The following is a 23,708-nucleotide window of genomic DNA, read 5'->3' as shown; positions in this document are numbered from 1 at the left end:
ATTTTGTATTTTCAGTACAGACAGAGTTTCATCATGTTGGTCAGGGTGGTCTCGAACTCCTGACCTCGTGATCTACCCACCTCAGTCTCCCAAAGTGCTAGGATTACAGGCGTGAGCCAACACACCCGGCCAATTTTTAGTAAGAATATAATTTTTCATGGAACAACAAGAGGACTCGAGTAGCCCTGCCCACTTATCTCAATAAGGCTCCTAGTTGCCCCACAGAAGAATATTAAATCACAAATATTCACATGTTTAAAGTTCTACAGAATACCATTGATTTTCTAACACTGACATCCATACCACAGCATAATCAACTCAATAACTGTTGACTATGGTAAAGCCTCTTTAATATAATCTAGCTTAAGCACCCTTTGAAATAGGTCATTCCATCTATATGGTGAAATGTTTCACAATAATCTAATTTTAAATAGAAAAGAGTGGGCTGCAGGCAGGCTCTACTTAAAAGCCACTGAGGTTTTCAGCCTCTTTGGGAACTAAGAGTTCGCTGCCACCACCACCTCCATTCTCCCAGCTAACCTACCCACCTGCTTTCGCATAAATGTGCCGGAAAACTTGTCATCCCACCAGGGAGCACCCAAAAATCATTTTTAACTTCTTTGGATGGAGATATTGCTCTAGTATTCTACAATTTCCTGACTTATAAATAAAACATATTGAACATAATGTAACATCTTCCTTTGCATATAATTACACAAGTAATTCATATTTATTGCAGAAAAAGATCCAAAAATTAAAGAGAAGAAAAAAAGTTATAGACCAGACACACACATATGCACACATTTTTCTTCAAACTAAAACAGGACCATTTGCTATATGTCTTAGTTAGGACTATATCAGCAATATCTTCACATCAATAAAAGTAACTCTGTGTCAAAATTCCTGGTAGATACAGACTATCCTATTCTATGTGGGGTAGAATTGTCATTATTTAACAAATCCCTATTCTTGGATACTCAGATGATCTGTTTCTCACTTTCTTTCTCATGAGTAAAACCTGCAATGAAAAGCCCTAGAGCTAAGGCTTTGTGTATTTTGTTTCTCGTTTTCTCAGGAGACATTGTTAGAAGCAGGATTTCTGGATTAAAGAAAATAGGTATTTTGAAAGCTTTTAGCATATTCCAGCTTGGAATATGCTAACCTGCTCTTCAGGAAGGTCCCAGATGGCATCTGCCTTTGCCAACCCTGATATCCAACCTGCACTTAAAGGGCTCAGGTTAAAAGGAATGCCTTCCCTAGGTGGATACAAGAGAGACACTCTCAGGGTTCCGGAAGTATCTGGCTCCTGAATTAGGTCTCTTTCAGGACCACCCTACTCTTCCCTCCTTCTCACCTCAACCAGTGAAGGGTTCTGCTCTGGACTAATAGCACCTCCTTCTCCCCACCACACTCCTCCAGCTTCCTAAGGTAAAACTTCCCAAAATGTGCAGCAGGCACCTGCTGACAGCCACCTTGGGAAGGCTGATATAACATTTAGAAACCTAAGAACATCACTTTTTTTGTTTTTTGAGATGGAGTTTTGCTCTGTTGCCCAGGCTGGAATGCAGTGGTGTGATCTTGGCTCACTGCAACCTCTGCCTCCTGGGTTCAAGCAATTCTCCTGCCTCAGACTCCCGAGTAGCTAGGACTACAGGTGCCTGCCACCAAGCCCGGCTAATTTTTGTATTTTTAGTAGGGACAGGGTTTTACCATGTTGGCCAGGCTGGTCTCAAACTCCTGACCTCGAATGATCCACCCACCTCAGCCTCCCAAAGTGTTGGGATTACAGGTGTGAGCCATGGCACCCAGCCAGAACATCACTTATTATATTAACAAATTAAATGAGGCCAGGTGCAGTGGCTCATGTCTATAATTCCAGCACTTTAGGAGGCCAAGGTGGGAAGACCACTTGAGGCCAGGAGTTTGAGACCAGCCTGGGCAAGACAGTGAGATGGCATCTAGAAGAACCACACCAAAATATTAAGAACAGAAGGAAGATGAATGGGAGGTGTGTGATGGTTAATTTCATGTATCAACTTGGCTAGGCCACAGTAGTACCTAGGTATTTGGTCAAACATTATTCTAGCTATTTCTGTGAAGGTATTCTTTAAATGAGACTGATATTTAAATCAACAGACTTTGAGGAAAGTAGATGCCCTCCGTCATGTGAGTGGGCCTCATCCAATCAGCTGAAGACTTTAAGAGAAAAAAGGCTGGCCTCCCCACACCCTGGAAAGAAGAAACTTGACCGGCAGCACTGCCTTCAGAGTCAAACTGCAACTCTTACCCAGATCTTGAACTTTTCATGGAAAAGTTTTGAACTTGCCAGCCCCTACAATCGCACACGCCAGTTCCTCAAATCTCTCTCCTTCTCTACATATATGTTTATACACACACACACACACACACACACACACACACACACGATTTCTCTGGAGACCCCTGACTAATCCAGGGTTGGTGGGGTGGGGAAGGAACATTTTGGAAGAACTACTTTCAACTTTTTTTTTTTTTTTTGAGATGGAGTCTCTCTCTGTCACCAGGCTGGAGGGCACTGACACGATCTCGGCTCACTGCAACCTCCGCCTCCTGGGTTCAAGCAATTCTCCTGCCTCAGCTTGCTAAGTAGCTGGGACTACAGGCGCATGCCACCATGCCCAGCCAATTTTTGTATTTTTAGTAGAGATGGAGGTTTCACCATATTGGCCAGGATGTTTTCAATCTCGTGACCTTGTGATCTGCCCTCCTTGGCCTCCCAAAGTGCTGGGATTACAGGCGTGAGCCACCCCATATGATTCTGTGCAGTTAGAATTCTTATGTAAAACAAAGCTGTATTCATGAGGAAATTATATCATTTTAATTAACATTGAAAAAAGTAAGCAAACACAATGTTTACATTAATAACATCCTCTCCTGGCTAACACGGTGAAACCCCATCTCTACTAAAAAAAATACAAAAAAAAATTAGCTGGGCGTGGTGGCAGGAGCCTGTAGTCCTAGCTACTCAGGAGGCTGAGGTAGGAGAATGGCATGAACCCGGGAGGCAGAGCTTGCAGTGAGCTGAGATCGTGCCACTGCACTCCAGCCTGGGCAACAGAGCAAGACTCTATCTCAAAAAAAAAAAAAAAAAAAAATCCTCATTAAGAAATAGTTTTACAATAACCACTATAAACAAATGCAAACAAGAGCTGTCTGAAGGAAAAAGGAGGGCCGGATGCTGCGTGAGGCCCAGCACAGTCTGCAGAAGAAGAAGCGGGAGCCCACGACAGCCAGGGGAGAGACTGAAGCACCAGAGGCCCAGGGAGCCCCAGAGCCACGTGGGGCCTATGGTACCACAGTAGGGGAGCCATCATCCTGATGCCCCAGAAGAAAAAGGATGTTACCATGCTCGAGTGTGAGAAAAAATTCCAAGAACGAAGAGAGTACATTTCAGATACTTAAAACTCCATTTCTATAAAACCCCATAATAACACCAGCAATAGGTCGGGGGAGATGTCTATGTGGCTTTATGAATGAATGCAAGAATTCTGGCCTCTAAAGAGCTACTATATTTCTAAAAGGCTGCCATGAGCCCCTGCTAACACATGTGTGATTTGCTGGGTAAACTATTTTAGGCAAGTTTCAATCATCTCAGGATGTTTTAAGACAATGCAAATTAAAATCATCAGGGGTCTAAGAAAAGAATCTTGCGCTGGGGACGGGGTGGGCATCCAGGATAAACATCGATGACAGCATTTGGTCGCAGCAGCTGCAACGGCGCAAGAGAGATGGATTCCCTGTGAGGGGACAACTTCCTGGTTCAGTTCACACAGGTAATGCAAGAATACTCGGGCAGCGTGAATGAAGACTGACTCAAATGTTCTTCTGGTGACAGAGCCTTACCATCTGCCATGGACGGAACGTTTGTGTCCCTTCAAAATTCATATGTTGAAATCCTAACCCTCACGGTGATGGTATTAGGAGATGTGGCCACTAGGAGGTAACCAGGTCATAAGGGCAGAGCCCTCATAAATAGGATTGGTGCCCTTATACAAGAGGACCCAGAGAGCTGCCTTGCCTTCTCCACCCTGTGGGGACACAGTAAGAAGGTGCTGTCTATGAAACAGAAAGCAGGCCCATGATCTTGGACTTCCCAGCCTCCAAACAGTGAGAAATAAATCTCCATTGTTTATAAGCCACCCAGTTTACTGTATTTTGCTATAGCAGCCTAAACGGACTAAGACATCATCTAATTAAGCTATTCTCCAAACAAGATTCCAAAGGGAAGGATACTTCATACAAGTCTTAAAAATTCTAAGATCCCTCAACACCAGTTGATTGCTTCAACATATCATAGAAAAATGGTGAGTACTGCAGCCTCAAGCCCGGCGCCACAGGCAGGAATCCTTTCCCTGGGCCTAAACAGAATGAAAGAGCATGAGAGGGAGGCCCCAGTAAGGCAGGGAATCTTCAACACATGTGGCCTGTAGAGAAGACCAAGTGTGCATATCAATCACCACCTGCTGGCCTTAAATTCCACACTACACTAGGCACTGGGTGTCATACAAGGCAAACCCTTCCCAATCAAGTCTCAACCAGGCAGCAAACTTCCTTTCTGAAGGGACTCCCCAGGAGTTCAGGTTTGTCTGCAATTTCTACGATATGCCATCTATTTTCCTTGAAATACACTCCCCAAGTGTGATTGTTAGTATCTTGAACCAGATCCTTTCTGGGATGTGTTGTTAGAAGTTTGGAGGGTAAAGGTCAGGCCCAGGTCTAGTGCAGAGGGGTGGCAAGTGGCAAGGGGAGAGGACTTCCTGGCCGGGAGGCAGGACCCAAGGGTCAATCCCTACAGGGTGTGGCCCCAGCACCGCAGGTCAGACACCACCATTTCAGCCCACTGCTTCTCCAAAGCCAGCTCATAATAAAGAATCCCATGGAACGTTCCATGCACCAAACTCTTAACCACAGATCAGTGTTGGGGAAAAGCAGGCGAACCACACAGACACAGGGACAACCCCCACTGAGCTGCCTAGACTCAGGCAGCCCCTGTTCCAAGTGCCCTTTGGTATGTGTGTATCAGAGTTTATTATGAGAAAAAGTCCAAATATAGAGAAAAGTAAAATAGAAAGTAAGATAAGTAAGATAAACACCCATGTCTTCATTGGTAACATTAACAAAGGTCAATATTTTGTCATAACGGCTTCAAACTTTTTAAAGGAATCAACATTACAGAAAAAGTTGAAATGCCTTTTTGTGCTTTCTTCTCCATCCCTCCCAGAGGTGATCACTATTTGGTGCAGCTGTGTATGCTCTGATTTTGCTTTTGAATTTTTATTACATATGCATGTATCCATAAACAATATATTTTTATTTATTTATTTATTTATTTTGAGAAGGAGTTTCGCTCTGCTGCCCAGGCTGAAGTGCAGTGGCGCAATCTCAGCTTACCGCAACCTCCGCCCCCCAGGTTCAAGCAATTCTCCTGCCTCGGCCTCCCAGGTAGCTGGGATTACAGTCTCCCGCCACCACACCCAGCTAATTTTTTTATTTTTAGTAGAGACGGGTTTCGCCACGTTGGCCAAGCTGGTCTCAAACTCCTGACCTCAGGTGATCCACCCACCTCGGCCTCCCAAAGTGCCGGGATTACAGACGTGAGCCACTGTGCCCAAGCGATATATTTAATAGGGAGCATTATTTCCTATTGCAACTATTTGCACAAAATGCTCTCCATGTACATCTGAGCCTGAAACTTGGTTTATTCACGCAGTGCTGGACGTGATTCAGCCAAATCACTGGCAAATGCATCGTGACTGCTATAGTGTCTCTGCATGTTCATCCATGCCCCTAAACTGATAGACACTGTGTCCAAAGTTCTGTGACTACAAATACAGAGAGCACTGAAATTAAAACCTTGATCTGTATCTCCTGATGCACCTGAGCTGGAAATTAATTGCGATCCTCGCCTGTGTCAGTTTTTCGACCAGGGCACTATTGACATGTGGGGCCAGATAATTCTTTATTCGGGGGGGGGGCTGTCCCCTGTACTATGCAATCCCTGGTCTCTACCCATTAGACGTCAGGAGCATCTCCTACCCTCATTTATGACAACCCAAAATGCCTCTAGACATTGCCAAATGCACCCTGGGAGGCAAAATTGCCCCAGGAGAGAACCAGTGCTCTAAGTGGACAAGCTGGGGGTAGAACATGAGCCAAAGTCCTCTCCAAAGCGGCTGCAACAACTTCAACTCCACCACTCATGGGTGAAAGTTACAGTTTTTCTTCATTCTCACCAATTCCCAATACCTTTGCATTTTCACCAATCGGATGCTTAAACATTGTTATTGTGTTTTCACTTCGCATTCCTGATTGCCAGTAAGACTGGCCACCTTTCCATGCATCTATTGGCTGTCTGGATTTCCTCTTTGGTGAAGGATTTAATTATGTCTTTTGTCCATTTCCCATTGGCTTCTTTGTCTTTTCCTCATTGATCAGTATGAATTCTTTTTTTGTGTGTTTTGTTTTTTTTAGATGGAGTCTCACTCTGTCACCCAGGCTATAGTGCAATGGCACAATCTCAGCTCACGGCAGCCTCCATCTCCTGGGTTCAAGCGATTCTCCCACCTCAGCTGCCCAAGTAGCTGAGATTACAGGTGCCTGCCACCATGCCTGGCTAATTTTTGTATTTTTAGTAGAAATGGGGTTTCACCACGTCGGCCAGTCTGGTCTCGAACCCCTGACCTCAAATGATCTGCCCACCTCAGCCTCCCAAAGTGCTGGGATTACAGGGGTGAGCCACAGCACCTAGCCCAGTTTGAATTCTTTATAATACTTGAGGACAGTGCTGTCCAATAAAGACATAAGGGGAGCCACAAATGTAATGGAAAATTTTTTTTGGAGACAGGTCTTGGTCTGTTACCTGCTGGAGTGCATCACGGCTCACTGCAGCCTTCGCCTCCCAGGCTCAAACAATCCTCCCCCCTCAGCCTCCCTAGTAGCTGGGACTATGGGTGAGCACCACCACATCCAGCTAATTTTTGTATTTTTGTAGAGATGGTGTTTTGCCATGTTACCGAGGCTGGTCTCGAACTCCTGGGCTCAAGTGATCTGCGCACCTCTGCCTCCCAAAGTGCTGAGATTACAGGCATGAGCTACTGCACCTGGCTGATAATTTTTAATTTTCTAGTGGCCAAATTAATAAAAGCCAAATGAAATCCTAATAAATATATTGTATTTAACTCAACATATCCAAAATATTACCATTTCAAAATGTAATCAATAGAAAAATTTTAATGAGCTATTTTACCTTTTTTGGATGAATCTAGTACATATTTTACACTTACGGCACACCTCAGTTGCACTGTGTTCCACAGCCACTTGGAGGTACCAGCTACACTACTGGGCAATACAGCCCTAGACACTAAAGCTGGCATCAGGATGGCACTGGCGCCCAAGGCTGGCACTAAGATGTGGCAAAGGAGGCCCTGGGGCACCAAATTTAAAGAGGCGCTCCCTCTCAGGCACCACAGAGAGTAGGTGCCTCTGTAAATGCTGCCCCTGGACCTGAAGCTCTGTCAAGGGTGTTGCGATTGTTTTCTCGACACCACTTGTTTTTCATTTACCATCCCGTTTTACGTTTCGATGCAGTCATATTATTAATCTTTTCCTTTATAGGAATGCTTTTTGTCATGCGTTTAAGCAATGCCTCCCATTCAAAAACCCTAAAGATATTCCTCTGTATTTAATTTCAACAGTTTCAAGTTTTTTTTTTTTTCATAGTGAGGTCTTGAATCCACCATGGTTTTTATTATAGAAGTTTAATTTTACCTTTTTCTGTTTTCCTAGCACAATATATGAACACATCCATTCTTTTCCCATTGGTAGTAACAGCATGCTCAAGCTCATCCCACCTCCCCATAAACACAGGAATGAACCTGAGAGTTGCTCCCATTGGTCTAACAATCTACCTCAGCCCCAAGGCAATCCTGATTCGCTACTGCAGCCTTGTGTTTTGCAGGGAAGAAACCTTCCTTGCTCTTCCCCTTCAGAACTACCACGGCTCTTTTTTTTTTTTTTTTTTAGATGGAGTCTCGCTCTGTTGCCTAGGCTGGAGTGCAGTGGCACAATCTTGGCTCACTGCAATGTCCGCCTCATGGGTTCAGGCGATTCTCCTGCCCCAGCCTCCTGAGTAGCTGAGACTACAGTCATGCACCACCACGCCCATTTTTTTTTTTTTTTTTGTATTTTTTTAGTGGAGACAGGGTTTCACCATGTTGATCAGGCTGGTCTCGAGCTCCTGACCTCAAGTGATCCACCCGCCTCAGCCTCCCAAAGTCCTAGGAATATAGGCGTGAGCCCCCGTACTCAGCCTGCTGTTGCTATTCTTGATTACCAAGCTTCGTTTTAAAAGTCAAATTCAGTTCTCAGTCCTTCTAGAAGGAGTGGTGATGAAGATTGTGCAAAACACCAGACCACAGGTCACGAGAGGACGCCTAAGACGACATGCTCAGGCTGCCAGGAATAGGCATTTGTGCTCCTCCTAGAGAGGGCTAAAGGAAACTGCTGCTAGGAGGCACTCAGTAACAAGGAGCTTTAAATAAGAAGATGAACTCACAGACAGTCCAGCAGGAAAACAAGCAGCTGGAAGCTCATCGTCCAGTGTGTTTCACTGTCCCAAGTAGACTTCAGTATTCCTCAAAAATGTCCCTGACAACACTCTCTATTCTCTTCCACTTATCATATACAGTAGCATGCACAGGAGGAAGATTCACTCAAGTATGGGCGACGGTCTGTGAAGAAGCTGGTGAAAGTACACACACAAAGTCTTTTTTAATTGTTTGAACCAGGACAATTCAGTTGCACTGGATTCAGCTGCAGTACTCACTGGCGTTATTCCGTTATCTATTTCTTCCTGCCTCTTGGTAAAATTGCATTTCCCCACCCTTTCTGAGTTCTGACTTGACCATCTGGTTTGCTTTGGGTAATTAAACGTAAGTGAAATAGCAGGTGTCACTTCCAGGAGGAAGTTTCGAGAGACGGTGGACGATGTGCCACCTTCCCTTTTCTTGACTTGACTGCCCTTGAAGCTCAGAGATGCAACTGCTCCCAGACTGGGCCTCCGGAGTGAGGGCAGAGAGAGCAGAGCCCTGCCCCCTCTAGCCGGCGCACAACAGCATGAATGAGCGAGAGGCAAACCTTTGTTATTTTAAGCCACTGGGACTTGAAGTGGTTTGTTATCACAGCATCACAGTCTATTCTGAGTGTGTGTGTGTGCGTGTAACAGTAGCATACATCATCTATTCATGTGTCAGGTTGCCTACTTTCTTTTTCCCTTGGGAAGAACTGTCCTTTATTTTAAGATTATGTCTTTGATACTTGATTGGGCACAAAATGTACTTATAAAATGGGCTGGGCGTGGTGGCTCATGCCTGTAACCCCAACACTTTGGGAGGCTGAGGTGGGTGGATCACTTGAGGTCAGGAGTTCAAGACCAGCCTGGCCAACATGGTGAAATCCTGTCTCTATTAAAAATACAAAAAAATGAGCCAGGTGTAGTAACGCACACCTGTAATCGCAACTACTCAGGAGGCTGAGGCAGGAGAATGGCATGAACCTGGGAGGCGGAGCTTGCAGCGAGCTGAGATTGCGCCACTGCCCTCTAACCTGGGCGACAGAGCAAGACTCCACCTCAAAAAAAAAAAAAAAAGACAGAGTCTTGCTCTGTCGCCAGGCTGGAGTGCAGTGGCACGATCTCAGGTCACTGCAACCTCCACCTCGTGGGTTCAAGTGATTCTCCTGCCTCAGCCTCCCGAGTAGCTGGGACTACAGGCACTCGCCAACACGCCCAGCTAATTTTTGTATTTTTAGTAGAGACAGGGCTTCACCATGTTGGCCAGGATGGTCTCGATCTCTTGACCTTGTGATCCGCCCACCTTGGCCTCCCAAAGTGCTGGGATTACAGGCGTGAGCTACTGTGCCAGGCCAATATTTGTATTTTTATCTATGCTTTTCTGCTTCAAATAAAGAGATGCCTAATAAACTGTTTTAAATAAAGAAATGACATTTTATTAATAAAATAAATAAATATGTAAAATACATCAAGATAATTCCTTCCAACATGGGGTCACCTTGTAGCCCTGTAATCAGGATTTGATAAATTCAAGGTTGTCAGTAATTCAAAACAATTTCCCTTTAGACTAAATTTTGCATAAAACGTAAATCTTATTATCACTGCAAACCTCTCGCTGGGATTTATGATTTTAGATTAGTAATGTATGAAACCACTACTTTGTTCAACTGTATTCCCTCTGCCAACTTCATGTATATACCTAATCTATTCCTATCTCAGAGGCTCATCTAATTTTCCCAACACTGGGAGTGGTTTCCACGCAGTGATCATACAAGCATTATGTGATGAAAGAAAACTAAGCCTGTTAACCGTTGACCTGAAGGCAGTGACTGTCAGTAACAATTACATGTTCTTCCAACCATTGATTCACTTAATCTTTCTGAAATTAAGCTTGGAATTTTTACAACAGATGTACAAAGCTCGACAGAGAACTTAAAGGAACTAGCAAGGCTAGAAGAGCGGAACACAGAAACTCACTCAGCCAGGCATGGTGGCTCATGCCTGTAATCCCAGCAGTTTGGGAGGTTGAGGCAGGCGGATCACCTGAGGTCAGATGTTCGAGACCAGCCTGGCCAACATGGTGAAACCCTGTCTCTACTAATCATACAAAAATTAGCTGGGCATGGTGGCGAGTGCCTGTAATCCCAGCTACTTGGGAGGCTGAGGCAAGAGAATCACTTGAACCCGGGAGGCGGAGGTTGCTGTGAGCTGAAATCTTGCCACTGCACTCCAGCCTGGGCAACAACAACAAAACTCCACCTCAAAAAAAAAAAGGAAGAAGAAAAGGAAAGAAAGAAACTCAATGAGAAAGAGGTCATGCAGGGGATGAATTACAACAGCAAAAACACAGACCCTGTCCTAGTACCATGTATGTCTGTCATGAGTATACTTTTCTTATTCATTCCATACCCTGTACTTCTAATATTCACAACCACAACTGTGGTAGCCAGCCTCCTGGATGGCCCCAATGATCTTCGTTTCCTCCTGGTATTCACATCCTTGGTGATCACCTCCCATGCTGCATCAGGGCTGGCCCCATATGGCAGGAGTAATGGTGTGTGCCTTCCAAGGCCAGATCCTAAAAGATCTTGCAGCTTTCACCCTGGTCTCCTGGATTGCAGGCTCCTGAGGAAGCCGGCCGCCACGCCCTGTGGACACTCAAGCAGCTCTATGGAGAGACCCACAGGGAGAGGAACTGAGGCCCCCAGCTAACTGCCAGCACCAATGTGCCAGCCACGAGAGAGAGCCACTTTGGAAGAGGACCCTGTGGCCTCAGTCAAGCCTTCAGACAACTACAGCCACAGCCAGCATCCCACTGCAACTCACGAGAAACCCTCAGTCAGAACTGCCCAACCAGGTTCCCACATTCCCGAGCCATAGACACTGTGAGAGAAAATAAATGATAATTATTATTTAAAGCCACTGTGTTTTGGGGTGATGCATGTAGCATTAGATAATACAAACATCAACAAGTCATAAGGATAGAATAATGACAAAATCCAGTTACAATTTTCCAAAGCCTGTCATATTAACATATAATTCTATGTTTCTGTCTTGAGAACTGGATCATTCATTAAAGTTGAATATATGTTTATATAAGACAATATATAATTAAATAAAACATATTAGTATTTTATTATTAGCCATTGAGATCTACTAGATGTTAGGTGCAGCGAGATTAGATATAATTAATTCTGCAACTCAGCTAAGAAAATCTCCTCTCTGGACTTCACTATACTCCCAGAAGACACCAGGAGAGTGCTATATTTTTCTTTTTTTTTTCTTTTTTTTTTTTTTCAAAAAGGTTCTCCTTTTGGTCAGGCACAGTGGCTCACACCTGTAATCCCAGCACTTTAGGAGGCTGAGGTGGGAGGATTGCTTGAGGTCAGGGGATCGAGACCAGCCTGGTCGACATGGCGAAACCCCATCTCTACCAAAAAATATAAAAATTAGCCGGGTGCGGTGGCGCATATCTGTGGTCCCAGCTACTCGGGAGGCTGAGGTGGGAGAATCACTTGAACCCAGGAAGCGGAGGTTGCAGTGAGCCGAGATCACGCCACTGTACTCCAGCCCGGGTGACAGAGAAAGACTCTGTCTGAAAAAAAAAAAAAAAAAAAGCCAGGCGCGGTGGCTCACACCTGTAATCCCAGCACTCTGGGAGGCCAAGGCGGGTGGATCACAAGGTCAGGAGTTTGAGACCAGCCTGGCCAACATGGTGAAACTCCGTCCCTACTAAAAATACAAAATTAGCTGGGTGTGGTGGCAGGCACCTGTAATTGCAGCTACTGGGGAGGCTGAGGCAGGAGAATCGCTTGAACCCAGGAGGCAGAGGTTATAGTGAGCCGAGATTGCACCATTGCACTCCAGCCTGGGCAAAAAGAGTGAAACTCCATCTCAAAAAAAAAAAAAAAGTTCTCCTTTTGAAATTATTTTAAAAAGTTTAAAAAAAAACATTTTTCTATGGTATAATCTTACATTTATCAAATATTAGTAAAATTGAGGTATATAAAGAATTTTAATCATGAGGAAAGGCTTAAATTACCATAAGATAAATATACATTTAAAACAATTATATAAAATCATCTATTAACACTGCATGACAAAAAACAAGAGAGAAATGCACTAAGCCTTCAGTAGTAATTGATTCTGAATAGGTTATAAAAAGTTGTAAAAAGTCTCATTTTTCCCTACAATGAACATCTATTTTTATTTAATAATCAGAAAATACAAAATGTTTAAGGATGGGGCTGGGCACAGTGGCTCACCCCTGTAATCCCAGTACTTTGGGAGGCCAACGCAGGTGGATCATCTGAGGTCAGGAGTTCAAGACCAGCCTGGGCAACATGGCAAAACCCCGTCTCTACTAAAAATACAACAATTAACCTGGCATGGTGGTGCACACCTATAATCTGAGCTACTCAGGAGGCTGAGGCAGGAGAATCACTTGAACCTGGGAGGCGTAGGTTGCAGTGAACTGAGATCACTCCACTGCACTCCAGCCTGGGCGAGGGAATGAGACCCTGTCTCAAAAAAAAAAAATTTTTTTTAAGGATGAAAAAATTCTGATGAAGCTTCCCAGTCTCCTGCTTAACTACACAAGTGGATTCACGGGCTGTGAGAAAACTGTACAGAAGACAGAAAGCTGCCTCCCATCCTTTTCTAGAAAGAGTTGGGAGAATATAAATAGACCATCAGGCCGGGCACGGTGGCTCACACCTATAAACCCAGATCCTTGGGAGGCTGAGACGGGAGGATGGCTTGAGCTCAGAAGCTCGAGACCAGCCTGGGCAACATGGCAAAACCGCGTCTCTACAAAAATATACAAAAAGTAGCTGGGTGTGGTGGTGCACACCTGTAGTCCTAGCTACTCTAGAGGCTGAGGCAGGAGGATTGCTTGAGTTTGGGAGGTCAAGTCTGCAGTGAGCTGTGATCATGCCACTGCACTCCAACCTGGGTGACAGACTGAAACACTGTCTCAAAAAAAAAAAAAAATGACAAGCAATCAATGGAAAGCAAATTGGACCTTCAGGATCTATAGACTATGATCAGCTTTATAAGTTCCTTGCAAAATGCTGCATACAATTTCATGAAAGGAATCTACATTGTCCACTCGTTTCAGACTCAAAGACTTGAAACCCTTTTTGAATGTTTTACCTACTCTGCCAAAGCGGTTCCCACTCCGGAGGCTCCCAGCCAGCTGCTCTGAGGCAGGCTCTCAGACGACAGCATGTTCTATTCATGAGAAATAAAATTCTCCAACTATTTTCAAGGCAATGTTTTCACAAATATTGGGCCTGTCATGCACAAATACTGGTCCACCTCACAAAAAGTGTGGCCTAATTTAGTACAACCCAAACCAATGGATGCAGAATTAACAACCTGGCTAATGATTGAGCCAAACGACCTATTTACTGTTTTCTGCCAGGCGCAGGTTTGACTTTGGCCACTCATAGTGCAGTCCCAGGACCAGCGGCATCAGCGTCCCCTGGGAGCGTGTTAGAAATGCAGATCCTCAGGCCTCAGCCCAGGCTCCTGGCTGGGAGCCTGCAATTACTTTTGTCTACAGGACCTAAAGTGTGAGCATGCTCCGCTGACGCCCTGGGTGAGGCCCCGGGATGGACAGTGGTGGTGTTATCTCTACACCCAGGCACCGAGGTTGCTCAGTCACCCCTTCGGGGACACAGGACACAGAGCTCAGCTTGTGTTCTTGTTCATTTTTACTTGATTGGCTTTCTTTCAGTGGGGCAACGCACCCACCTTCTTGTCTTGCCCAGTCTCTGCTATATATAAATCCAAATAAATTCTTACCTAGTCCTGGCCTGGATGCCTACAGCACTCCCTCACATGCCCCCTAACTGGTCTTGTTCTCATGTGCACCAGCTCCTGGGTGCTCTACCAAGAGTCATCCCTGGCCCCATGGGGGGAAATGGCAGCCCCCTGTCATAGGCTGGGGTGGAGTGGTCAAAGGAGAAGGGCAGATCTCGAGATATTGTGGCTTGTACTTTGTCTTACAGATTTAGGAATATATAGGTGTCGTCACACTTAAAATGTGTGTGACTAAACCAGCACATCCACGGAGAGCATGCCCCGCAGGGAGGAGGGCTGCACCGCTTTCAGCTGGCTGTCGTCATCACCCATGAGCATTTATTCACCATCAGCAGGCTTACTGGTCCCTGGCTGTGTGTTCAAAATACAAAGATTGCTGAAATGCGACTCCCTCCCCTCAGGACATTCAGTCTGGGGAAGGAGGCAGAGAAGTAAACAATGAGAATGCCAGGCTCGGCCCAGAGGATGGTGGGAGCACAGATGACTGGCAACTTGCCCAGGCTGGGAGGAGTTGGCACCCAGCCAGGTTGAGCCTCGTTAGCCAAGCAATGGTGGGAGGTCCGCAGCGCCAGGGATGGTGGAGGGACCGTGTCCCAGGCGGGAGGCAAGCATGTGCAAAGGCGTGGAGCTGACGAGTGGGGAATTCTGGGTCATGACGGGCTTCCACGAGGGCTGAGGAGGCTGAAGTGCATCCAAAGTTGGTGGAGAACCACGCAGGGTCTTAGAAAGCAGCGTGATCAGATTTTCCTGCTAACTATCTGGCTCTCAGGTGGGAGCTGGTGTGGGAGGAGACAGCCTTGCCACATTTTCTTCTATTTTCAAAATATTCTTTAAATATATGCCCCCCAACCCTATTCTTTTTAAACTGAGTTGGCAACTCATTTGTGATTTAAGGTGTAACTGAAACTGACATCTGTCTGTCTGACTCATAGCTGTCAGGGCGGTGGCTTCCACATGACATTCTGGGCTTTGGGATGTCTGTTCTGCAGGTGTTCATTAATGTCTTCTAACTTGATTTTTTTTTAATGTACAAAATTTAAATTATAACCTTTTCCAAATGTGAAAGGGCTCGATATCGTTAGTCACAGGGAAATGCAAATTAAACCCACAATGAGATACCGCCATACACCCACCAGAATGGTTAAAATTAAAAAGACTGACAATACCAAATGTTGGCAAGGGTGTGGAACTCTCATGTTCCCAGCAGGTGGGAGTGTAAAATGGAAGAACCACACTGGGAAACTGGCAGTTTCTATTAAAGTTTAACACATGTCTACCTTATGAGCCAGCAACTCCATTCACGGATACTCTCTCAAAATAAATTAAAGTCTATATCCACATGAAGATGTATACAAGAATGTTCAGGACAGCTTTATCCATAATATCCCAAAATTGCAAACAACCCAAATATTCATCAAGAGACTAGATAAGCAAAGTCTGCTATAATCAAACTTGGGAATACTACTGAGCAACAAAAGAAGAACAAAATCCTGATACACACAGCAATGCCAGTGGATCTCATGCATATTACATTGAACAAAATATGCCAGACACCAAAAAGTGCACGCTGCTGGATTCTATTTAATGAAATCCAAGGACAGGCAAGATTAATACTGTATATGGTAATAAAAAATTGTGAAGGGGGTTATTAGAAAATGGCACAAGAGAACTTCCTGGGGTAATGGAATCATATCTTAATCTGAGTGACATTTACATGTGCATATTCATTTGTGAAAATTCACTGAACTACACCCTTAAGAGTTGTGCATTTCACTGTATGTAAATTATCTCTCAATGAAGTAATGATAGCAGAAAAAGCAACTTTGCCTATGCAGACATACAAATGCTGAATAAGCCTGTGAAAAAATGCTCAACATCATTAGTCACTGAGTCATGAGAAATGCTCATCTAAACCACAATAAGAAATCACTTCACCCCTATCAGGATGGCTACCATTTAAAACACACCTATATAAAAAAATAACAAGTGTTTGTTTGGTAAGGATGTGAAGAAACAAACCCTTGTGCATTGCTGGTCAGAGTCTAATGTGGTGCAGCCACTGTGGAAAATAGCTTGGTTGTTCCTCAGAAAGCTAAACATAGAATTGCCACATGATCCAGTAATTCCACTCCTAGGTATATGCCCAAATGAGTTTAAAGCAGAGGTTGAAACAAAGATTTGTACACTCATGTTCCTAACAGCATTATTCACAGTAGTGAAAACATGGAATACCCAAATGTCCATCAACAGATAAATGGACAGGCAAAATGTGGTATATACATATGATGGAATATTATTCAACCTTTAAAAAAAGGAAATTCTGATACATTTTATAATATAGATGAACACTGAGCATATCATGCTAAGTGATATTACCCATATACAAAAAGACAAATATTGTATGATTCTATTTATGCAAATATGTAGGATAGGCAAATTCATAAAGGCAGAAAATAGGTTAGAGGTTATCAGGGGCTGAGGGGAAGAGGGTAGGAGGAGGAAGAGGGACTGGGGGGAGAGGGATGATAAAAACATTTTGGAAATAGTGATAATGTTTGCACAACATTGCAAATGCCACTGAACTGTACACTGGTTACAATGGTTAAAATGAACAATTTTATGTTATATATATTTCACCACAATTTTAAAAATTAATAATGGAATATGCCCCAAACTATCAAGTTGTATACTTTAATGGATGAATTGTCAATAAAGTTGTTAACTATGGAAAGAAAAAAAAAAGCAACCTAGTGGTACACACAACATGGCTAAATCTCAAAACCATTATGTTGAGTGAAAGAATCCAGGCACCAGAGCGCACACTGTGTGATTCCACTGAATTTTCAATACTGGCTAAACTAATCCATGGTGACAGAAATCTGAACAACAGGTCTTTGCCTCTGATGAGACAGGGACTGAGTAGAAAGGAGCAAGAGGAAACTTACTATGGTGATGGAAATGCTCTATATCTTGAGTAGGGGGATGACTGCACAGGTGTATATATTTGTCAAAATCATACGGCTGTTCACTTAGAATTTCTGTACTTTATCATATGTCAATTATACCTCAACAGAGTATTTTTTTATTTTTTCTTTAAGACAGGATTTCTCTGTGTTGCTCAGGCTGGTCTCAAACTTCTGGGCTCAAGTGATTCACCTGCCTCAGCCTCCCAAAGTGTTGGGATTACGGACATGAGCCACCATGCCTGGCTAACCAAGTATTATTAACATAAAATATGATTGGCCAGGTGTAGTAGCTAATGCCTGCAATCCCAGAACTTTGGGAGGCTGAGATGGGAGGATTGCTAGAGCCCAGGAGTTCCAAGACCAGTCTGTGCAACATAGTAAGACTCTGTCTCTAAACATTAAAAAAAATTTTTTTAATTAAAAGCAAAACAAAACAAAACAAAAATCATGGCCAGACACAGTGACTCACGCCTATAATCCCAGCACTTTGGGAGGCCGAGGCGGATGGATGATCTGAGGTCAGGTGTTCGAGACCAGGCTGGCTAACATGGTGAAACTCCATCTCTACAAAAAATACAAAAATTAGCCAGGCATGGTGGTGCATGCCTGTAATCCCAGCTACCTGGGAGACTGAGGCAGGAGAATCGCTTGAACCCAGGAGGCAGAGGTTGCCATGAGCCGAGATTGTGCCATTGCACTGCAGCCTGGGCAACAGAGCAAGACTCCATCTCAAAAAAAAACAAAAAACAAAATATAAAATATGGTTAAAACGCAACAAGGCATTGAGAGTGCTAGAAGGGGCAGGCTAGAAGTCAGAAAATACTCAAAAGTCTCCTAGGAGTCACTAGGTAGAGATGACGCCACTGAATGGGGTGGTCACATCCAGGTACTGAGAGGAGAAGGCAAACTTAGAAGAGATGGAGGCTGGAGAACAGACATCTGGATGTGGGAGGAGGCAGGAAAAAGTAGTGGTAATTGGCTTCTGACTCCAACCCCTCAGAAGGATCAAAGTCATATGCCAAGAAAAGGAACATAGCAAGAAAATCTAGTACTCCTGGTAAACATGTCAAGGTCCAGAAATCCAAAACTAAAAGAAAAAAACACATGTATGTACAAGATATAACCAAGAATTAGAGGTTCACATTAGAAAGCATAATTAGTTTGTGCTGTGGTCTGAGAGACTGTTTGTTATGATTTCAGTTCTTCTGCATTTGCTGAGGAGTGTTTTACTTCTGATTATGTGAGCAACTTTAGAGTAAGTGCCATGTAGTGATGAGAGGAATGTATATTCTGTTGTTTTAGGGTGGAGAGTCCTGGAGATATCTATGAGGTCTGCTTGATCCAGAGCTGAGTTCAGGTCCTGAATATTTGTTAATTTTCTGTCTTGATGATCTAATATTGTCAGTGGGGTGTTAAAGTCTCCCATTATTATTGTGTGGGAGTCTAAGTCTCTTTGTAGGTCTCTACAAATTTGCCTCATGAATCTGGGTGCCCCTGTATTGGGTGCATATATATTTAGGATAGTTAGCTCTTCTTGTTGAATCGACTCCTTTACCATTATGTAATGCCCTTCTTTGTCTTTTTTTATCTTTGTTGGTTTAAAGCCTGTTTTGTCAGAAACTAGAATTGCACTCCCTGCTTTTTCCTGTTTTCCCCTTGCTTGGTAAATTTTCCTCCATCCCTTCATTTTCAGCCTACATGTGTCTTTGCATGTGAGATGAGTCTCTTGAAGAAAGCACACTGATGGGTCTTAACTCTTTACCCAGCTTGCTATTCTGTGTCTTTTAATTGGGACATTCAGCCAATTTACATTTAAGGATAATATTGCTATGTGTGAGTCTGATCCTGTCATCACGATGCTAGCTGGTTATTTGCAGAGTTGTTTATGTTGTTGCCTCATAGTGTCACTTGTCTGTGTACTTCAGTGTGTTGTGGCTGGGAGTGTTTTTTTCCTTTCCATATTTAGTGCTACCTTCAGGAGCTCTTGCAAGCCAGGCCTGATGGTGACAAATTCCCTCAGCATTTGCTTTTCTGAAAAGGATCTTATTTCTCCTTCACTTATGAATACTTAGATTGGCTGGATATGAAACTGAGTTGGAATTTTTTTTTCTTTAAGAATGTTGAATATTGTCCCCCAATCTCTTCTGGCTTGTGGGGTTTCTGCTGAGAGGTCCACTGTTAGTCTGACGGGATTCTCTTTGTGGGTAACCTGGCCTTTCTCTCTGGCTGCCCTTAACATTTTTTCTTTCATTTCAACCTTGGAGAATCTGATGATGATGTGTCTTGGGGTTGATGGTCTCATGGAGCATCTTACTGGGTTTCTCTGCATTTCCTGAATTTAAATGTTGGCCTGTCTTACTAGGTTGGGGAAGTTCTCACAAATGATATCCTGAATTATGTTTTCCAAATTGGTTCCATTCTCCCCATGTCTTTCAGGTACGCCAATCAGTTGTAGGTTCGATCTCTTTACATAATCTTATATACCATGGAATACTATGCAGCCATAAAAAGGAACAAGACCATGTCCTTTGCAGGAACATGGATGGTGCTGGAAGGCATTATCCTTGGCAAACTAATGCAGAAACAGAAAAACAAACACTGCATGTTCTCACTTATAAGTGGGAGCTGAACGATGAGAACACATGGACACACAGTTGGGGATCAATGCACACAGGGGCTTATCAGGGGGTGTGAGGCAGGAGAGCATCAGGAAGAATAGCTAAAGAATTCTGCACTTAATACCTAGCTGATGGGTTGATCTGTGCAGCAAACCACAATGGGCATGGCACACTGCCTGTGTAACAAACCTGCACATCCTGCACATGTGCCTCAGAACTTAAACTAAAAGTTGAGGGGGACAAAAAGAAAGCAAGCATAATTAATTTTAAAGGGTGCTGGTACATAATTAAGTCATTCTGTTGTTTTGGTTTGGCTTAGTTTTTTTCTGGCCTGGAACAATCTGTTCGGCTTATGCCAAAAACAAAGATCCCCCAGGCATAGGCGAAACATGATATTTTCAAACTTTCCTATGAGTCAGCGAAGGCAGTTTCACTTTTGTCCTGGGACACGTAATTCCAGGAAGCGCTTCCCCTGCCCTGGTACACTCAGCCTTCTCCCTCTCTGTTTTCAGGCCATCACACCTGCTCGTTCACAGAGGAGGCAAAAAAATGGATGATGGACAGAGATTTCCAGAGTCGTAATCATCCAGATGGTGGCCACTAGAAAAGACCAGAGAAAATGTCCAGGGTTGGAGTGCAGGGATGAGCCCAGAAGATGACATTGCAAGCAATGGCTGAACCTCTGAAGATTCATTTCGTCTCTTAAGGGTGTCCAAGTCTCTCCTCTGCCCATCAGGCCCCACTGGAGGATTCTGAACCCCTCTCCTTCAGTTACTCCTTCAGGTAACTGCCTGTAGTAGGTTGAAATGTATCGCCCAGAAAAGACATGTCCACATCCTAACCCCGGTCGCTGTGAATGAGACTCTGTTGGGAAATAGCATCTTTATAGATCATAATTAAGGATCCTAAGATGAGATCATCCTGGAGATTTGAGACACAGATGTGCAGAGGACAGATGAGGACAGAGAGAGATTGGAGCGATGCTGTCACAGACCGCAGAATTCCCAGCTCTGCCAGAGGGAGCGTGGCCCTGCTGTCACCTGGACTTCAGACATCTGCCCCCCAGAATTGTGAGAGAATCAATTTCTGATGTTTAAGCCACCTACTTTGTGGTCATTTGTTACGGCAGCCTTCAGAAAAAAATCCACTGCCAATCTAGCACCACAACCACCTATGTCCCCCAGGCCGCTCCTCCACCTGGCCTCCTCCCTCCTCTCCTGCTCAGGATGTAACCCTCCGGTCTGGCCCCAACACAGCACCTCCCTCTGGCGTGACTCCCCTCCACCCTCCACAGTCACAGGGCACACTCGCTAGAGATAGGGATCCATGTTTGGTGTTTCCTCTCTGCTTAACAACATCTGCTCCTGCAGCTCTTGAGTTACTTGCCATAGGAAAAGCCCAGGACTGGCCCTGCTGGGTCCCACCAATCACCCGGGGAGTGAAATCCCAACTACTCAGCCCAGCTCCTTCAACTCTATTTGCAGTTCACCCATCCTCTACCAAGACAATCACCACTCCTGCTGCCTGTACCTGGAAGGCACTTTCCTACCCGCTCAACGGCAGTCAACTCCCACTTTCCCCGAAGGACCCACACACAAGGTTTCCCAGTGCCGAATCCCACCCACATCGCAGGCAGCTCTGGGTTCCTGACATGTATCAGTGAATTCCTTTCCTGTTACCTCATTTTCTTTCAAGGAGTCGTTCTTCTTAGGTTCATGTCTTACCCCACCTAATGAATCAAATACCCTCTGAGGGCTTCAGTTTTGAGGTCGTGAACCCCATGTGGCTCCCAGGGGCCTTCCAGAACATGTGCCCTCGGCATGCATGGGGATGAGTGCATGCACGAAGGGAATAACAAGTAGAAAGAAGAATGTGTTTTTGGCTGGGCGTGGTGGTTCACACCTGTAATCCCAGCACTTTGGGAGGCCGAGGAGGGCAGATCAGCTGAGGTTGGGAGTTCAAAACCAGTCTCACCAACATGGAGAAACCCTGTCTCTACTAAAAATACAAAAATTAGCCGGGCGTGGTGGCGCATGCCTGTAATCCCAGCTCCTCAGGAGCCTGAGGCAGGAGAATCGCTTGAACCCGGCAAGCGGAGGTTGTGGTGGGCATTGCACTCCAGCCTGGGCAACAAGAGCAAGAAACCCTGTCTCAAAAAAAAAAAAAAAAAAAAAAAGAAGGATGTGTGTTTTTAAAATGCATATTTTCTGCAGTATTGGAGATCAATCAATCAATAAATACATGATCTCTTTAAACATCCCTCCCTGAATAAGAGTGAAAAAAAGCTTTAAATAAGGAATAGGTCTGTGACAATGAAGAGAATTCCTGCCCTTGGAGAGGAGAGAAAATCCCCGTGAGCTGACAGCTCCCACATGTGGTTACTCCTCGCTGTTGAGTCTCTAGGCTTTGCTCACTGCAGAGACTCTGGGACAGGTTCTGCCTTGCCACGGGACCAGAATTCGGCTCAGAGACAGCACAGGCCTTGGGTCTGAAAAAACTGTAGCTCAACAGCCAAGAGTAGTCTTGCAGCAGAAAAGGAGATGAACTATCCTTAAATGGCAGAGGGTTCATGAGGGGGTGAGGGTAAGTGAGTTGAGAGGGGTGGGGGTTGTGCTGGAATGGGGATCCAGGTGAGCCAGGGTCAGGGAAGTTGAGCCAGGGTGAGGGGTTGGGGAGTGAGTGGGTCATTGAGTCGGGGTCTGATGTTAGCCCCCCTGCCCGGGAGGAGAAGAGGTTGGAGAGAGGCTGGAGAGGTGAAGACTCAGAGCTCTGGAGGTGAGCTAGGGTTGGAGGAGTTGGGCTGGAGTCATGGTGAACAGGAGGTTGACCCAGGGTGGGGTTGGGATGAGCAGGGTAGGGTGTCGACTGAGACAGAGGTGAGGTACAGTACAAGGCAAGTTAAGGCACTAAAAAGTAAATGTCATACAACAAATGTGTAGATGACCCCTTTGAGAAGCTCCCCACTCAAATATCCAGTGTCTAAAGGGGAGGAAAGTATTCTGTCATTGCAGATGGGGTCGTACATTCATTGATGGTACAGGTTTTTGCTTTATTTTGTTTTTTCTTAAAAGAGTTAATAGCTAATGCTTTAAAAAAAAGTAAACAGAGCAAAATATATTATCTGCGATAATAATTTAAAATATGTTACTGCACAGAAAAAAAGAGAGTCCTATTATGCCAGTTGACTCAACTAATAATAGCTGTAGTGTTATAATATAAGGGTTAGTTGTTTTCTACTTTTAGAATCAAACTATAGATAAAGTTGAAATAATAAGCATAATTAAGATCCAAGAAAATGTTACTAGTCTCGTAAGTGGAAAGCTAGCGAAGACAATATGAGGGGTGGATACGGGGTGGTGGGAAAAGGTTAGGAAGGTCCTTACCTAACAGAGGAGAAGTCAGGAAATACCAGCTAGAATTGATGGAGAAGGAACTGGGGTTGAAATAACATATATAAGAAACTAAAAGAATACATATGAAAAAGGATGGGTGGATGGGTCTGATCAGAGGGGTGAAAAGGGCAAGTCAGCAAAAAACTCCACTACCATTGCACACAATCATCTCCACTGCCTCAAATGGACAAACCAAGAGTAGCTATGATGAGCAGGTTGCAACTGGCAGGGAGGGGACTGCCAGATGAAATGAAAGTGGGAACAGTGGCAAGAGACAGCTCTGAGGAGCAGACAGGTG

At 44.5% G+C, this 23,708-nt stretch overlaps 1 protein-coding gene across 1 annotated transcript in view, besides 6 other annotated features; it reads right to left on the bottom strand.

The window, feature by feature from the left end:
• Positions 1–23,708, bottom strand: part of ANKRD33B (ankyrin repeat domain 33B) — a 93,747-nt gene that overhangs the window by 41,401 nt on the left and 28,638 nt on the right. The gene's annotated exons all lie outside the window — the stretch shown is intronic.
• Positions 8,201–8,450: an enhancer, noted in NCBI's record as "active region_22368". NCBI's record gives its function as "activates an Ori minimal core promoter by ATAC-STARR-seq in GM12878 lymphoblastoid cells {active_cell/tissue: GM12878}" and the evidence as "EXISTENCE:reporter gene assay evidence [ECO:0000049][PMID:35858748]".
• Positions 9,121–9,170: a silencer, noted in NCBI's record as "silent region_15925". NCBI's record gives its function as "represses an Ori minimal core promoter by ATAC-STARR-seq in GM12878 lymphoblastoid cells {active_cell/tissue: GM12878}" and the evidence as "EXISTENCE:reporter gene assay evidence [ECO:0000049][PMID:35858748]".
• Positions 15,094–15,223: an enhancer, noted in NCBI's record as "active region_22367". NCBI's record gives its function as "activates an Ori minimal core promoter by ATAC-STARR-seq in GM12878 lymphoblastoid cells {active_cell/tissue: GM12878}" and the evidence as "EXISTENCE:reporter gene assay evidence [ECO:0000049][PMID:35858748]".
• Positions 15,444–15,523: an enhancer, noted in NCBI's record as "active region_22366". NCBI's record gives its function as "activates an Ori minimal core promoter by ATAC-STARR-seq in GM12878 lymphoblastoid cells {active_cell/tissue: GM12878}" and the evidence as "EXISTENCE:reporter gene assay evidence [ECO:0000049][PMID:35858748]".
• Positions 20,005–21,204: an enhancer, noted in NCBI's record as "CDK7 strongly-dependent group 2 enhancer chr5:10595324-10596523 (GRCh37/hg19 assembly coordinates)". NCBI's record gives its function as "activates an origin of replication core promoter dependent on BRD2, BRD4, P300/CBP, MED14 and CDK7 cofactors, with strong dependence on CDK7, by STARR-seq in HCT116 cells {active_cell/tissue: HCT116}" and the evidence as "EXISTENCE:reporter gene assay evidence [ECO:0000049][PMID:35650434]".
• Positions 20,718–20,777: an enhancer, noted in NCBI's record as "active region_22365". NCBI's record gives its function as "activates an Ori minimal core promoter by ATAC-STARR-seq in GM12878 lymphoblastoid cells {active_cell/tissue: GM12878}" and the evidence as "EXISTENCE:reporter gene assay evidence [ECO:0000049][PMID:35858748]".

Source organism: Homo sapiens, chromosome 5, assembly GCF_000001405.40.
Source record: "Homo sapiens chromosome 5, GRCh38.p14 Primary Assembly".
NCBI classification, from domain to species: Eukaryota; Metazoa; Chordata; class Mammalia; order Primates; family Hominidae; genus Homo; species Homo sapiens.
The sequence above is the reverse complement of the archived record's forward strand: the minus strand, read 5'-3'. Positions and strand labels throughout refer to the sequence as shown.